Source organism: Homo sapiens, chromosome 17, assembly GCF_000001405.40.
Source record: "Homo sapiens chromosome 17, GRCh38.p14 Primary Assembly".
NCBI lineage: Eukaryota > Metazoa > Chordata > Mammalia > Primates > Hominidae > Homo > Homo sapiens.
The window spans coordinates 66,882,819-66,895,935 of NC_000017.11; the positions used below are offsets into that span (position 1 = coordinate 66,882,819).

General features: G+C 48.9%; 1 protein-coding gene and 1 pseudogene across 2 annotated transcripts in view; both read left to right on the top strand.

Moving 5' to 3' along the window:
• CACNG5 (calcium voltage-gated channel auxiliary subunit gamma 5) overlaps nucleotides 1-11,933 on the top strand; it is a 59,635-nt gene extending 47,702 nt beyond the window's left edge. The window contains exons 5-6 of one of the 2 annotated variants that reach the window (NM_145811.3): nucleotides 1,698-1,843; nucleotides 2,165-11,933. In NM_145811.3, coding sequence (NP_665810.1) covers nucleotides 1,698-1,843; nucleotides 2,165-2,422 — 404 coding nt within the window. In that variant the 3' untranslated portion in view covers nucleotides 2,423-11,933. The remainder of the gene's footprint in view (nucleotides 1-1,697; nucleotides 1,844-2,164) is intronic. The other variant, NM_001371476.1, reaches the window with a different exon arrangement.
• RNA5SP446 (RNA, 5S ribosomal pseudogene 446) lies at nucleotides 12,673-12,754 on the top strand (annotated as a pseudogene).

Here is a 13,117-nt window from a genome sequence, read left to right on the forward strand (position 1 = left end):
ACCACCTGACTCCTGAGTAATTTTAGGATCCTTTTCCCAATATTTTCTTGTCAACGTAGCTTGGGAGCCAGGTGGCAGTCAGAAAGTCTGATGTCCAAGAGCCACTCTTTCTTTCTCCTTCCATCCATCCATCCATCCATCCATCCATCCATCCATCAATCCATCCATCCACACACCTACCCACTCTTCTTTCCATCCATCTGTCCATCCATTTTTCAATCTACCACCAACCCATCATCCATCCATTCTTCCATCTATCAACCCATCCTTCCACCCTTCCATGCATCAACCCAACACATATTTATTGAGCACCAGGAATGTTATCAGCCCAGCTTTTGCATGGTGATATTTCCACGAAGTCTATGAGGTACAGACTCAGGGTTAGTTAAGCTTTTTATTTTTCCTTCTGTGAACTTCACGATAGCCAAAGCTATAAACAGTAGCTTTGACATACGTGAGGTTTTTCAGCAGTGGGCTACCAGATCAGAAATCTAGGATTGAGATGGGCCACATGAAGTCATTTCAATGATAACAATAAAGAGGGTTCATTTAGTGCACCAATGATTCAAACATAAGTACTAGGAAGGTTTCGGTCACACCAGTTTTCCTTTGGCATTCATCCTTCCAGATGCCCTACTTTCATAAAATAATGTGAGTGGAATTAAACCTGAACAACTCAAAAGAGAGTAATTAATTATGTCTTGATTCAATTACAGCTACTAATTGATAGAACTGATGCCTGAGGCAGTCATTTGCACAATGGCAGTAGGAGGTTGGTCCCCCCGGCCTCCTGATTTAAAGTTTGCCAAAATCTGGACAAAATCCCTTTACCTCCCCTACCTAAAGATCTCAGACAGGCCACACCTTGTGGTCAGGTGTGTTGGACAGACCATGGGCCACATGAGGGAACTTCACAATGATAGGTGCCACCTACCACCTTGGCTATCTCTGCCCATGGGGCGTATTTTACCCTTCAGTTCTGTAAAAGCCACTTTCTAGCTCAGTGGTTCACAGCCCTCTTAAGAAAATGCAGTGCCAGGCGCAGTGGCTCACACCTGTAATCCCAGCACTTTGGGAGGCCGAGGCTGGCGATCACTTGAGGTTAGGAGTTCGAGACCAACCTTGCCAACATGGAGAAACCTTGTCTCTACTAAACACACAAAATTAGCCGGGCATGGTGGCAGGCACCTGTAATCCCAGCTACTCAGGAGGCTGAGGCAGGAGAATCACTTGAACCCGGGAGGCAGAGGTTGCAGTGAGCCGAGATCGCGCCATTGCCCTCCAGCCTAGGCGACAAGAGTGAAAATCCACCTCAAAAAAAGAAAAAAAAAAAAAAAAGAAGAAAATACAGTGCCAGGTCCCCATCCCAGGCCAGGTGTATCAGAATGTCCAGAGCTGGGGCTCAGGCCTGTGTGACAGATATGCACAGCAGGGTGAGAACCACCGGGCTTAGCCCATGGCTTAGGAGGGCAGCTATATAGGAGCTTCTTCCCTCAAACTATCTGCTGTCTAGAAGGTGCTGGTCTGAACAGGGTGCTTGGGAGGAAAGTTTCTGCTCTCCTTTGAACTCCACTGAGAGCATTGTTACCCCAAGGCTGGTGGCTTTGCTCCTGAATTGCAAAGGGAGGTGGGTGCCACCTCAGCAAACTTCCTGGGCCTCTGGGCTGAGCATCCCCTCTCCCCTGCTGCCCAACCAGGCCTCTCTCTCGTGGTGGGCCTGGTGCTCTACATCTCCAGCATCAACGATGAGATGCTCAACAGGACCAAGGATGCAGAGACCTACTTCAACTACAAGTATGGGTGGTCGTTTGCCTTCGCCGCCATCTCCTTCCTTTTAACGGAGGTAAAGCCCGTCACCCTAAGTATGGATAGGCTGGGCCTGGGCACTGCCCCACTGAGCCGGGGAGAGTGGGGATGGGGGAGAAGGGACATTCCACAACCATTTTGGACCCCGGACCACCCACTCTACTTCCCTTCCTCATCCCAGAATGTGTCACTGTCTTACCTTTCTGGGTCTCCTCCGGCCAGGATGTCCCCAGGACCCTGCTCCTGTCCCCACGTCCACTTCCCACCCCACTCGAGCTGTGTCCTGTGCAGACCCCAGCCAAGGGAGATGAGGCAGGCCCCAGCAGCGAGCCCATCCTCTGCTGTCTTCTCCCTGTAGAGTGCCGGGGTGATGTCTGTGTACCTGTTTATGAAGCGGTACACCGCGGAGGACATGTACAGGCCCCACCCTGGCTTCTACCGCCCTCGGCTGAGCAACTGCTCCGATTACTCAGGCCAGTTCCTACACCCAGACGCCTGGGTCAGGGGCCGCAGCCCCTCCGACATCTCCAGCGAGGCCTCCCTGCAGATGAACAGCAACTACCCCGCCTTGCTCAAGTGCCCCGACTATGATCAGATGTCCTCTTCACCCTGCTGAGCCTCGGCCGCCCCCATCCCTGGACTGTGGGTGGCCAGACAACCCTTCCTGTTCTCTCCAGGTGACCCCTGAGCCCCAGGCCTGTGGTTGACAGGCCCAGGCCACCCATGCTTAGCTGTTGTCACTTGACCCCAGTCCTCTCCCTGCTTCTCCAGAAGGGCTCTAACTGCCCCAGCATGGGTGTGGGAGTCTGGAGTCTGTGGGCAAGCTGATTGTCTGGGAACATGGGAGAAGCCCCGCCCATGTGAGTGCCAATCACAGCAGTGGCTCCAGGAAGCCAGCAGCTCCCCCCAAGCCCAGGAGACACCGATGTTCCCTTTGTATATTCTTCCTGCACCCCCCAACTTCATGGCCCTGGGCCAGGGCCAGCTCTGAGATGCCAAGCTCCTTACACAGATGCAGCTGGACTCGTGCACTTGCCAACTGGCCTGGCCATTCACATTCAAGATCTGCACCATCTGGCCGAAAGGTGACTCTGATATAGAGGTCTGGCTGACTTAGACATGTCAAGCTGTCAGTGTTCCTTCTGAACTCCTTTCTCCTTGTCACCCCTGTCCCTCCACATGACACACCTGTCCATGCTCTTCCCTCCCTGACACAGGCTGTGGTGAACTTTTTCTCCTTTCCTCACACCAGAACTCAGCTGCCCTGGGCCCTGGCACTAAGGGACTAAGGGTGGCTCTGAGGCCACACTGATGAAGTCACAAAGAGGTGTTAATGGCTGAAGACATCCTAATATGTATGGCCCTTTGATAACATATTTTACAGGAGCCTTTTATGCCTTAACCCAAATAACTGATTCTGACAATGAGAATTTTAGAATCGGGCTGGTCTGAGTTCCTATTACCAGACACTGTTTCTGGTCCTGGGGATACTGTCCCCTTACAAGGGTAATATTTCCGGACCAAGGCCCTAAGATGGAATCTTGTAGACATCTGTCTAAACCACCTAAGTGGAAGGTTGCCTTCGAAGAGGCTGCCTGGGAGTGGGAGCTGGATTTGAGGACACCTGGTGCAGCTTGAGTGCAAACAAAGGCAGACTTGGAATAATCCAGCTGCTCTCCGAAGGCTGCCTGTGAACATTGGGGGGTTGCCAATTTAATCCTAATATAGAGGAGTGTCTGCTTCCTGGGTGTAGGACAGATGTGGGCAAATCAGATTTTTCCAGAAGACCAGGCAGTGTGACACCCATTCTTCTGGTGGGAAACCGGAGCCAGGAGGGTTTCAATTACCCTCCGTAAGTCCACAGAAGCCACTGCAAGCCATGCCCCCCTTCAGCTCTCCAAGTGTCAGCTTAGCTTAGATGTTTTTGGTTTTGAGATTTTGAGTAGCAAAGCAATGCTGTGTGTCGCTGCTGTGCCCGCTCTCTCCTTGCCCTCTTTAAGACGCCGCTAGGTTCTGAGAACAGAAAGCCATGGTGGCGACACGTGGGCTCCAGCACGTAGTCCAGAAAGCTGCACGTCTGGTGTGCGCAGCCTTGGAGAGGCGGTGTGTCAGGCAGCCGGGCTGCCGCAATGAACTACCACAGACTGAGTGGCTTAAATAACGCACATGAATTTTCCTACAGTTCTGGGTACCGGAGTCCAAGATCACGGTGTTGGCAGGATTGGTTTCTTCTGAGGCCTCTGTCCTTGGCTTGCAGACGGCTACCTTCCCGCTGTGTCCTCATGTGGTCTGTGTGCCCGTGTCCCTGGTGTCCCTCAGTGTGTCCACATTCCCTCTCCTGGTGTCCAAGGACACCAGTCAGATTGGATTCGGGTCCATCCCCGATTAATTGGTGGTTAATTTTCATGAAATAACCTCTTTAAAGGCTCTATCTCCAAATACAGTCATGTTCTGAGGTACTGAGGGTCATTCTACAAATGAATTTAGGGAAGACAGAGTTTAGCCCATGACAGGTATTTTGTTGCTGGATTCTTCCATTTGTCTCACAGCAGGGTGGAGGAGAAGGGTAAGAGAAGCCAGTTCTGGTCCCAATTCAGCCACTCATTCACCACGAATCCTTGGGCAACACCCTTCCACTCTGAGGGGCTTGGCCTAAATGGTTTCCAAGCCCACTCCCCTCCCACCCACCCACAACTCCAATGACTCAGCCTCCTGTGGGAGGCTCTCTGTTGCTTTTGTATGTGACTTTTCAATCCTTGCCTATAAACTGATAGCAACTGCAAGGCCCCCCTCCCTCTCCACTGGCACCCTTGCAATGACTGTTGTATTCTTCAGTTACTGTTTACAGAATAATACCAAAACCATGTTCTCCTCACCGCAAAGTAAAGGAATCAGTTTTTGTGCTTGGAGACAGATAGCGTTTCCAAACTGGACAATCATTTAGGTAAGCGCTATTCCAATTTTTATCAATGTAATTAGCTCCTAATTGCACTTTTCTCTCTCTAGAACACTCTTTCTCTGTCACTGTGCCAGGCTTGTTTTTGGTGCACCTGGAAAAAGTAGAATCCACTCCTAAATACAAGTTGATTGTGGACTCAGACATCACTAGGTTCGGTCTTCACTGGCCCTGATGCTGAGCTGCTAAATGAAGGAGCCCTTAGCCTGGGAAGATGTGGTTTACACGCATCTTAGGAACAGGTTCTCGGTCATTACCTGTTTGGGGGTGGGTGCATGTGTCAATAATCACATCACCATCACAATTTCCTTTCTGTCTATAAATTCATCTCCGAATCAGGGCCTAGTTGCAGCCTCTCCTCAATCAGGAGACTTTTACCAAACGTTAACATGTACAAACTCAACTCAGAAATCATAAATTAGGGTCTCTTCTTCAATATACATTCTGATCTTTTGTTTCCTCAAGCACTGTAAAAAAATGGGAGGGGTAGACTAATAAACCCAAGTGTCATGATTTATGGAATAAAATAACTTGGGGTAATCAGCCATTAACAGAGAACAATCTGACATTGGTTCCCCCACACCTGGAACTTACTACCCTACTTTTTTTTTTTTTTTTTTTTGAGATGATGTCTTGCTCTGTCACCCAGGCTGGAGTGCATGTAAGAGTTAAAGAAAGAGGAGGCCTGGCGCAGTGGCTCATGCCTGTAATCCCAGCACTTTGGGAGGCCGAGGCAGGCAGATCACTAGGTCAGGAGATCGAGACCATCCTGGCTAACATGGTGAAACCCTGTCTCTACTAAAAATACAAAAAATTAGCTGGGCGTGGTGGTGGGAGCCTGTAGTCCCAGCTACTTGGGAGGCTGAAGCAGGAGAATGGCGTGAACCTGGGAGGCAGAGCTTGCAGTGAGCCGAGATCGCACCACTGCACTCCAGCCTGGGTGACAGAGCGAGACTCCGTCTCAAAAAAAAAAAAAAAAAAAAAAAGAGTTAAAGAAAGAGGAAAGAACCATGAAAAGTGGCTCAATAGTCAAAGACAGGTTTATTTTGGAGAATAAACCTGAGAGGGGCTTCTGGACGATTTCAGTCAGGAGCACTCTCTCTTACAGACCAAGAGTATTTATTGGTGAGACAGCTTGGAATGTTTCTGTGTGTGGGAGAAGTTTATGGCAGGGTTGGAAAGTCTCTGGTCAGAGAAGAGGTTATCTTGGGGCTGACATCTCTCTGGTTGGAGGGAAGGTTATCTCGGGGCTGGCATGTCTCTGGTTGGGGAAGAGTTTGGAATGTTTCTGGTCAGAGATGTCATTTGTGGTTTATGGTCATGTTGACCTTAGCCATTAGGCTGATGCCCTTTGAATTTAGGTGGTTTTTGATCAAGGTGAACTTTAAAATGGCAGTGCTTGTCCAAGATGGTGAAGCTCCTGCTCTGTCAGTGCAGTGGTGTGATCTCGGCTCACTGCAACCTCTGCTTCCTGGGCTCAAGCAATTCTCCTGCCTCAGCCTCCCAAGTAGCTGGGATCACAGGCATGCACCATCATGCCCAGCTAATTTTTTAATTTTTAGTAGAGATGGGGTTTCCCCATGTTGGCCACGTTGGTCTTGAACTCCTGACCTCAAGTGATCCACCTGCCTTGGCCTCCCAAAGTGCTGGGATTACAGGCATGAGCCACTGTGCCCATCCTCTACCCTCTTTCTTGTCCCATGGGTGAGTCAATGATGTCCTCCCAGCCCCACCAGTGACCTTCAGAAGAATCCTGTGTTACCAGGGCTGCATGCAGAGCTGGGGTGGGGGCGTGGGGGAAATCCATAGGTTGCCACAGGCTTATCAGTGATGTCCCTAGAGAATCACATGTAGGGGGCACCCCTCCTTAATGTTTGAGTAACTCTCCCTTCTCCCTAGATACAGGTGGTCTATCAGGGTTCTCCAGAAAAACAGAATCAACAGGATGAATATATAGAGAGAGAAAGATTTATTTTAAGGAATTAGCTCAAGAAGTTGTGGAGACTTGGTGAGTACAACCAAAATCTGATGGCAGAGGCTGGTTGGGCTGGAGACCCGGTGAGGACTTGCAGTTCAAGTCCAAACTTGCAGTCTCCTGGCAGAAATCCTGGCTGCTCAGGGGAGGTCAGCCTTTGTTCTATTCAGGCTTTCAGTGCAGTGGTTGAGGCCCACCGACGTTAGAAAAGGTAATTGCTTTACTCAGTGTCCACTGATTTAAATGTTAGTGTCATCCAAAACACACCTTCACAGGACAGTTAGAAAAATGTTTGGCCAAATATTTGGGCAGCACCATGGCCCAGCCACACTGACATGTAAAACTAACCATTGTAAGTGGAGAAAGGACAGCGGAGGCCGGGGGAGCCACATTCCACCTAAGGCCTGAGCAAATTGGCACCTGGGCTCTGTTCCTTCACCAGCTGCCTGGATTTTGGGTATGAGGGCCAATTGGCAGCTCTCCAAGTCTTGACTTTCTCCCCACACTCAGTGAACCACTTTCATATGCTCGTGTGACACTTGGAAGTTAACCTGCCTTTGGAACACAGCACTCTGCCTAGGGAGTAGGTGCACAGGTGGATGGATGAGTGGATTCTGTCTAATGCACCTGTGCCTGAGGCCCGGCTAGCACTGTGAGTGTGGGTTCATCCATGGTAGCAGTGGCTGCTCCAGTGTGCCATAGAAGAGACGAGGCTCAGTGGTCACCACTACAGGGGGTGGAGGGTGGTACGCTGGAGCCAGTCAGAGCCCTCACCAGGGCTGCTTTTGCTCTTTGGGTTCCAGGCATGCAGATGAGTGAATAGGAACTGGGCAGGTGCCCCTCTAGCATCCACGTCTCCCAGGACAGGTGCTAGGGCCTCATGTCCTTGGTACTGGCAGAGCTGAGGTCTCTGGAGTCTCACATCCCTGAACCAGGATCCTGGACCTCTGCTCTGTGACCTTGGACATATCACATCCTTCTGGGCCTGCCTCCACCTTCTGGTGTGTGAAGCCAGGACTCCCTGTGTGCTCACTGTGGGGCTAAGGTTTTCTGCCCCAGGTGGCCCCATCCTTGAAGGTTTGCATGCGTGGGCTCTCTGTCCTGCTGGTTCAGAGGCCTGAGTTCTCATCAGGTGCTGCTGCACCCTCTGTGTGTTACCAGCAGCCCTCGGAACTTCTGTCTTTTCATTCCTGTAATGGGGGAGTGTAGATAAAATCACCTCATCAGGCTCTATCCCCAGACTCTATACCCAACTCTAGAGGCTGTAAGTTTTACAAGCAAAATGCAACCAAGCTCAAGTAGTAGACTCCTCCCAGCCCCTGCCTCCTGATGGAGGCACCCAGATGACAACACTCCAAAGAATGTGGAATTTAGCTAAGAGATCAGATACTTGCAGCACCCCAAGGAAGAATAAGATTTATGCATAATGGAGTGCACATGGCTGGCAGTAGCAGTGGGGAGACAGTTGGAGGAAGGCAGAATTCTGCTGCCTTTATCCACGAGTGGGTAGCAAGATGGCAACAGTGATTCCAAACATCCTATCAAGATGCAACAGCTTCAGAGGGAAGAGAAGGGTGGTCTTTTTCTCTATGTTTTTCTAAGGAATAAAGACAACTTTCCCAGAAGCAACCCCAGCAGACTTCATGTCATGTCTCATTGGCCAAAACCAAGTCACATGCCCATTCCTAAACCACAATCTGGCAAGGGGAACAGGGTGGCCATGTGCTCCAGTTTATTAATATACAAGCAATTGCCCCAAAATTTAGTAGCTTAAGACAGCAACAATCATATCATGATTATTTCTGACAGCTTTAGGGGTTGGCTGGGCTCAGCAAGGCAGTTCTCACTCAGGATCTCCCAGGCAGTTGGAGTCAGACAGTGGCTGTCATTTCAAAGGCTTCCCTGCTCATTGGTGTGGCAATTGCATCCACTGAGACTTCAGCTAAGGTTGTCACTAGAACATCTTTGCACACGGTCTCTTCTTAAGGCCTGGTCTTCCTCATAGGGTGACAGCTTGGTTTTAAGAGTGAGGGTCCCAAGAGACAGGCAGAAGCTTCATTGCCTTTCTGGAAGCAGCCTTTGAAGTTACCTGATGTCATTTCCATCATAATCCCCAGACAACCTAGGTTTATAGAGAAGAGAACGTAGATCCCACCATCTCAGATGTGAGGAGTGTCAGAGTTCCATTGTGAGGAACACATGAGAGATGGGATCTATGGTAGCAACCACCTTTGAGAAACACGATCTGCTGTACCATGACTGGCTTTGACTAGTAAGTTATTCTCCCAGCCTGGAGATTCTGAAGTTACTCTGGGGTGGGACCTGAGGGTCTGTTTCTCTTAAAAGCTTCCAGGCAATGTCAAGGCCATGATATGCTCTAGGCTCTAGGGGTTTAGTCCCAGATCTCTGAAATTTGTTTAAAGCTCTCCAGATGGTTCTAATGTGAAACCAGGGTTGAGAACCACTGGCTTAGACCTACTGGGATTTATCACTGTAGCTGGGGATAAGGCCACCTTCTGAGTCTGGCTGGGGAGTGGTGGCATCCCAAACAAAATGCAAGAAAAGGAGGGAGAATGGTGCTGGGTGGACTCCTGAGGAGGTGGAAGCCCCAGGGACCTCCCCCCACTCCTCGCTCTGTCTCAGCCTGCACCAGCCCCACCTCCTCCGACAAGGCTGTGCCTGGGGCAAGACGCCAAATTCATGGGCTCATGCCCAGCCCTTCTGCCTCTGAGCCCTTTCCCCAAGGAGCTGGTATTCACTGGTATTCACTGGTATGCAGCTAGAGCCTGCCCCTGGAAAGAGGATAGAGAACATTCTGGAGCCAACGTGTTCTCCAGCCCACTGTCAGGGCCAAGCAAGCAGGGATGCAAGCAGGGATGATAAATCCTTAGAAATGATCTCATAGTCTCGGGCTCTGACTATCAAGTTCAGGTCAATCTTCATCACTGGTCTTTGAATAATTCATTTTGTGCTCAGCAGTTGTGAAAAAGAACAAGGCTCAAAGGCTTTAGAGGTTTCTGATTAGGCAATAAAGGAACCACGTATCACAACGTTCCCAGCAGACTAACTTGGGCCAATTTTTACTTTAAATCCACCCACACTCATACACCTCCCACCCTATTTCAGATACAACAATGTGTGTGAAAACACCGTGTAAACTGTAAAGTCCTCTTTGGACTAAGTTATTTTCATTAACAAAATGGTGAAGAGACTAAATTAAACCACATAAGGTGAGTAGCAGCTATTCAATCCATAGCATTTCTCAGTGTCCTAAATGATCAATTCTGGAGAGCATCCTACAAGGTCTGTTTACAGGCTTGGGATTCACCCAAGAATGGATTCACCATCTTCAACCCAGGCACAGTCTCTTGCAAATGTCGATTCAGATACTACGACTTCAGCTTCAACCCCAGCAGGTCATCACCAACATCATGACCACCAACATGCATCTAAAGTCCTTATCAGAGTCCTTGGCACATAATAGGTATTTTGCAAGCATTATCTCATGTAACCCTTTCCATCCTGTACGTAGAATACTGAGACCTAAAGAAGTTTAGGGACTTGCTCATGACCGCACAGCTGGTAATATTTGCACTGCTCTGCTCTGCAAGTCCTGTTTCAAGTGCACCCCCAAGAGCATGGCACCTACAGTCCTAAATGTTCTGCATGGTAAATGTACCCTCTTCTATAATCAGAGAAATAATCCAGGTTCCCATCCAAAGATAAATGGGGGAAGGAAAGGTCTAAATGCAAACAACGGTGATGTGTCGTTTCCTGAAAGCCTCTACACGTTAATCCTGACTCCTTCTCTCCCATCTCTACTCATGATGCCAACCAATGTTGGAAATGGCTCCAGGAAAACTCTGGATTTTCCTAACTGTGGTCAGCCCGTGGTGGAACCTCGCCACACTCTTGTTCTGGATAAATTGAAGCAACTGGAGAAAGACTCATGACACAAGTTTGGCCATGGAACATGTTTGGCGTGTGTGGTTAGGGGTCATCTGATGCATCCTACCAACGTGACCCCAAGGAAAGTGCTGGAGGAATTGGGCTCAGATCCTAGAGATGAGCTCATGTCAGACTCTGGCCTCCAGATTCCATTTTCCTGGCTGACTCCCAGGGCACCATGGAGCAAATGGCCAGTGGGTGTGCCATGGCAGGTGAGACCCGCCCCCCCAACCCGGCATTCTGAAGCCCTTCAGCTGGAGAGGAGGAAGAGATGTTTCATTTGTTCACAATGTTTCCTGAAGCACTGGAAGCGTAAATTCCTGAGTTGATGGGTGTGTGGGGTGCAAAGAAAAAAAAAGTGAAGTGAGAATAAATTTTACTTAGATGCAAGAAGTGTCACCTTGTTGTGTTAAATTAAGTCTGTCTGAGCCCCTATTCACCTGGGTGGTGAGAAATTCAGTGTTCCCCAGGGTTGCATGGGAATCCAATGGGGAGGGGATGGCAGTGGCTGCCAGGCTAGAAATCCAAAGTCCAGCGGTGTAGGTGCCAGGGTTCTTGACACCTGTTGTCCTGTGTCCTCGTAAACACCATCCCGCCACCCCTCTCAGGCCCTGCCAAGGACTCTGCTCACTGCTGCTCTAGGAACCCATCAATTGCACCTCCTCACTCATGTCCTTCCAGGTGTGGGGACTGTCCCCATGCGTTGACTGCTCTCCCCGACCTCCAAGGACTCCTTTCAATCTGTCACCCCCTTGGGAGGATCCTGCACATCCTTCCTCAGTGGATCCTTAGAAACTCAATGGTGGGCTTTTTTGCCTGGATTGGGGGAAGAAAAAGTGATGGGGAAAATGAAGTACTCATAATAATTTACCCTGTGATCCTATTAATAATAAATTAGTACTAATATATTATTTTGGTTATTGCTACTGTTTCTTTAGCACCTACTATATAACAGCTTCTGTCCTGGGCTGTTTCTCCGGTGTGATTTCATTTTATTTGCTTTGAATCCTAGTGCAGAATCTGAGTTAGTTACCCTCTCCAGTTCATGATGTGCAGCCATTATTGGTTCACATAAGGCCTGGCTCTTGATTTTTTATTCATTCATTCATTTTTTTTCCTTCCCCCTCCACCCCATGAGCAACCATTCAGATGTGTTTAATATATATATTTTTGTTTCTATGTGCTCCTTAAATGTATATTGTTTTCTGGCATGTGTATTTTAATTTAAATAAAGGGTACTGCATTATATATGCATCTCTCTTTCTCACTTTTTCATCCAGCACTGCTTTTACAATCTTCTGCTTTCCTCCATGAACATATAGTTCATTGCTCCTAACTGCTGCCAAGCACTCCACAGCCTTTACTTTTTGCCTAAACCCCAGTGAAAATCTCAGTAATTAACACCAGGAAAGTGGGATTTGGAGGCCAGAGTCTGACTTGACTCATGTTTAGGATCTGACACCAATTCCCCCAGCACTTCTCTTAGGTAGGGTTGCTTCCAACTCCCCTACAACACACGCACCAAACAGCACTGCTGAAAATACAGCTGTCCGTCTCCCCTTACAGATCTGGCAACCATTTCTTGGGGCTACACCGGGGGGTGGATGTAATGCATCGCAGGCTATGTTTGCACTTAATTTAATCCAACACGTTCTCATTGTTCTTCAGCAAAGATGCTCCAGTTCATACTCCCCGTGTCCCCCATCCCCGCTAAAACAGCCCAGAATTCCTCAGTCTCAACACTATTGACATTTTGAGCCAGAACATTCTTTGTTGTGGGTGCTGATCTTTGCATTGCAGGAAAGTTCAGCAGCATCTCTAGCCCCTACTCACAGGATGCCAGTAGCATTCGTATCCTCTGCTTGTGGCAACCAAAATCTCCAAATGTCCCCTGAGCGGAAAACTGTCTCCAGCTGTGAGCTACCTAGGCTTCCCTAGCTTTCTCCTTTTTGTCAATGTAGTGGGTTCCACCCTACATTTCCAGCAATCCTACAGCCACACTACCCTCAAAACCCCTGATCTCAGAAGTGAAGCAGGGTCAGGCCTGGTTAGTACCCGGCCGGTAGAAGATGGTACAACGAACTCCCTGGTACCCATCACTCAGCTTCCACGAGGACCAACTCATGTCTGACCCCAGATTCTTTAGAAGCAAATCCCAAACATCATATCACTTCTTCTGCAATGATTTCCCGCCATATTGGCAAAAAATCAGGATTCTTTTAAAATCACAATGCCAATAATACACTTAAAACAATAGTTTCTTGATGTCCTCAAATGTCCAGTTCAATGTTCAGATTTTCCTTATTATTATTATTATTATTTTTAGATGGAGTCTCACTCTGTCGCCCAGGCTGGAGTGCAGCGGCGCAATCTTGGCTCACTGCAACCTCCGCCTCCTGGGTTCAAGCAATTCTCTGCCTCAGCCTCCCGAG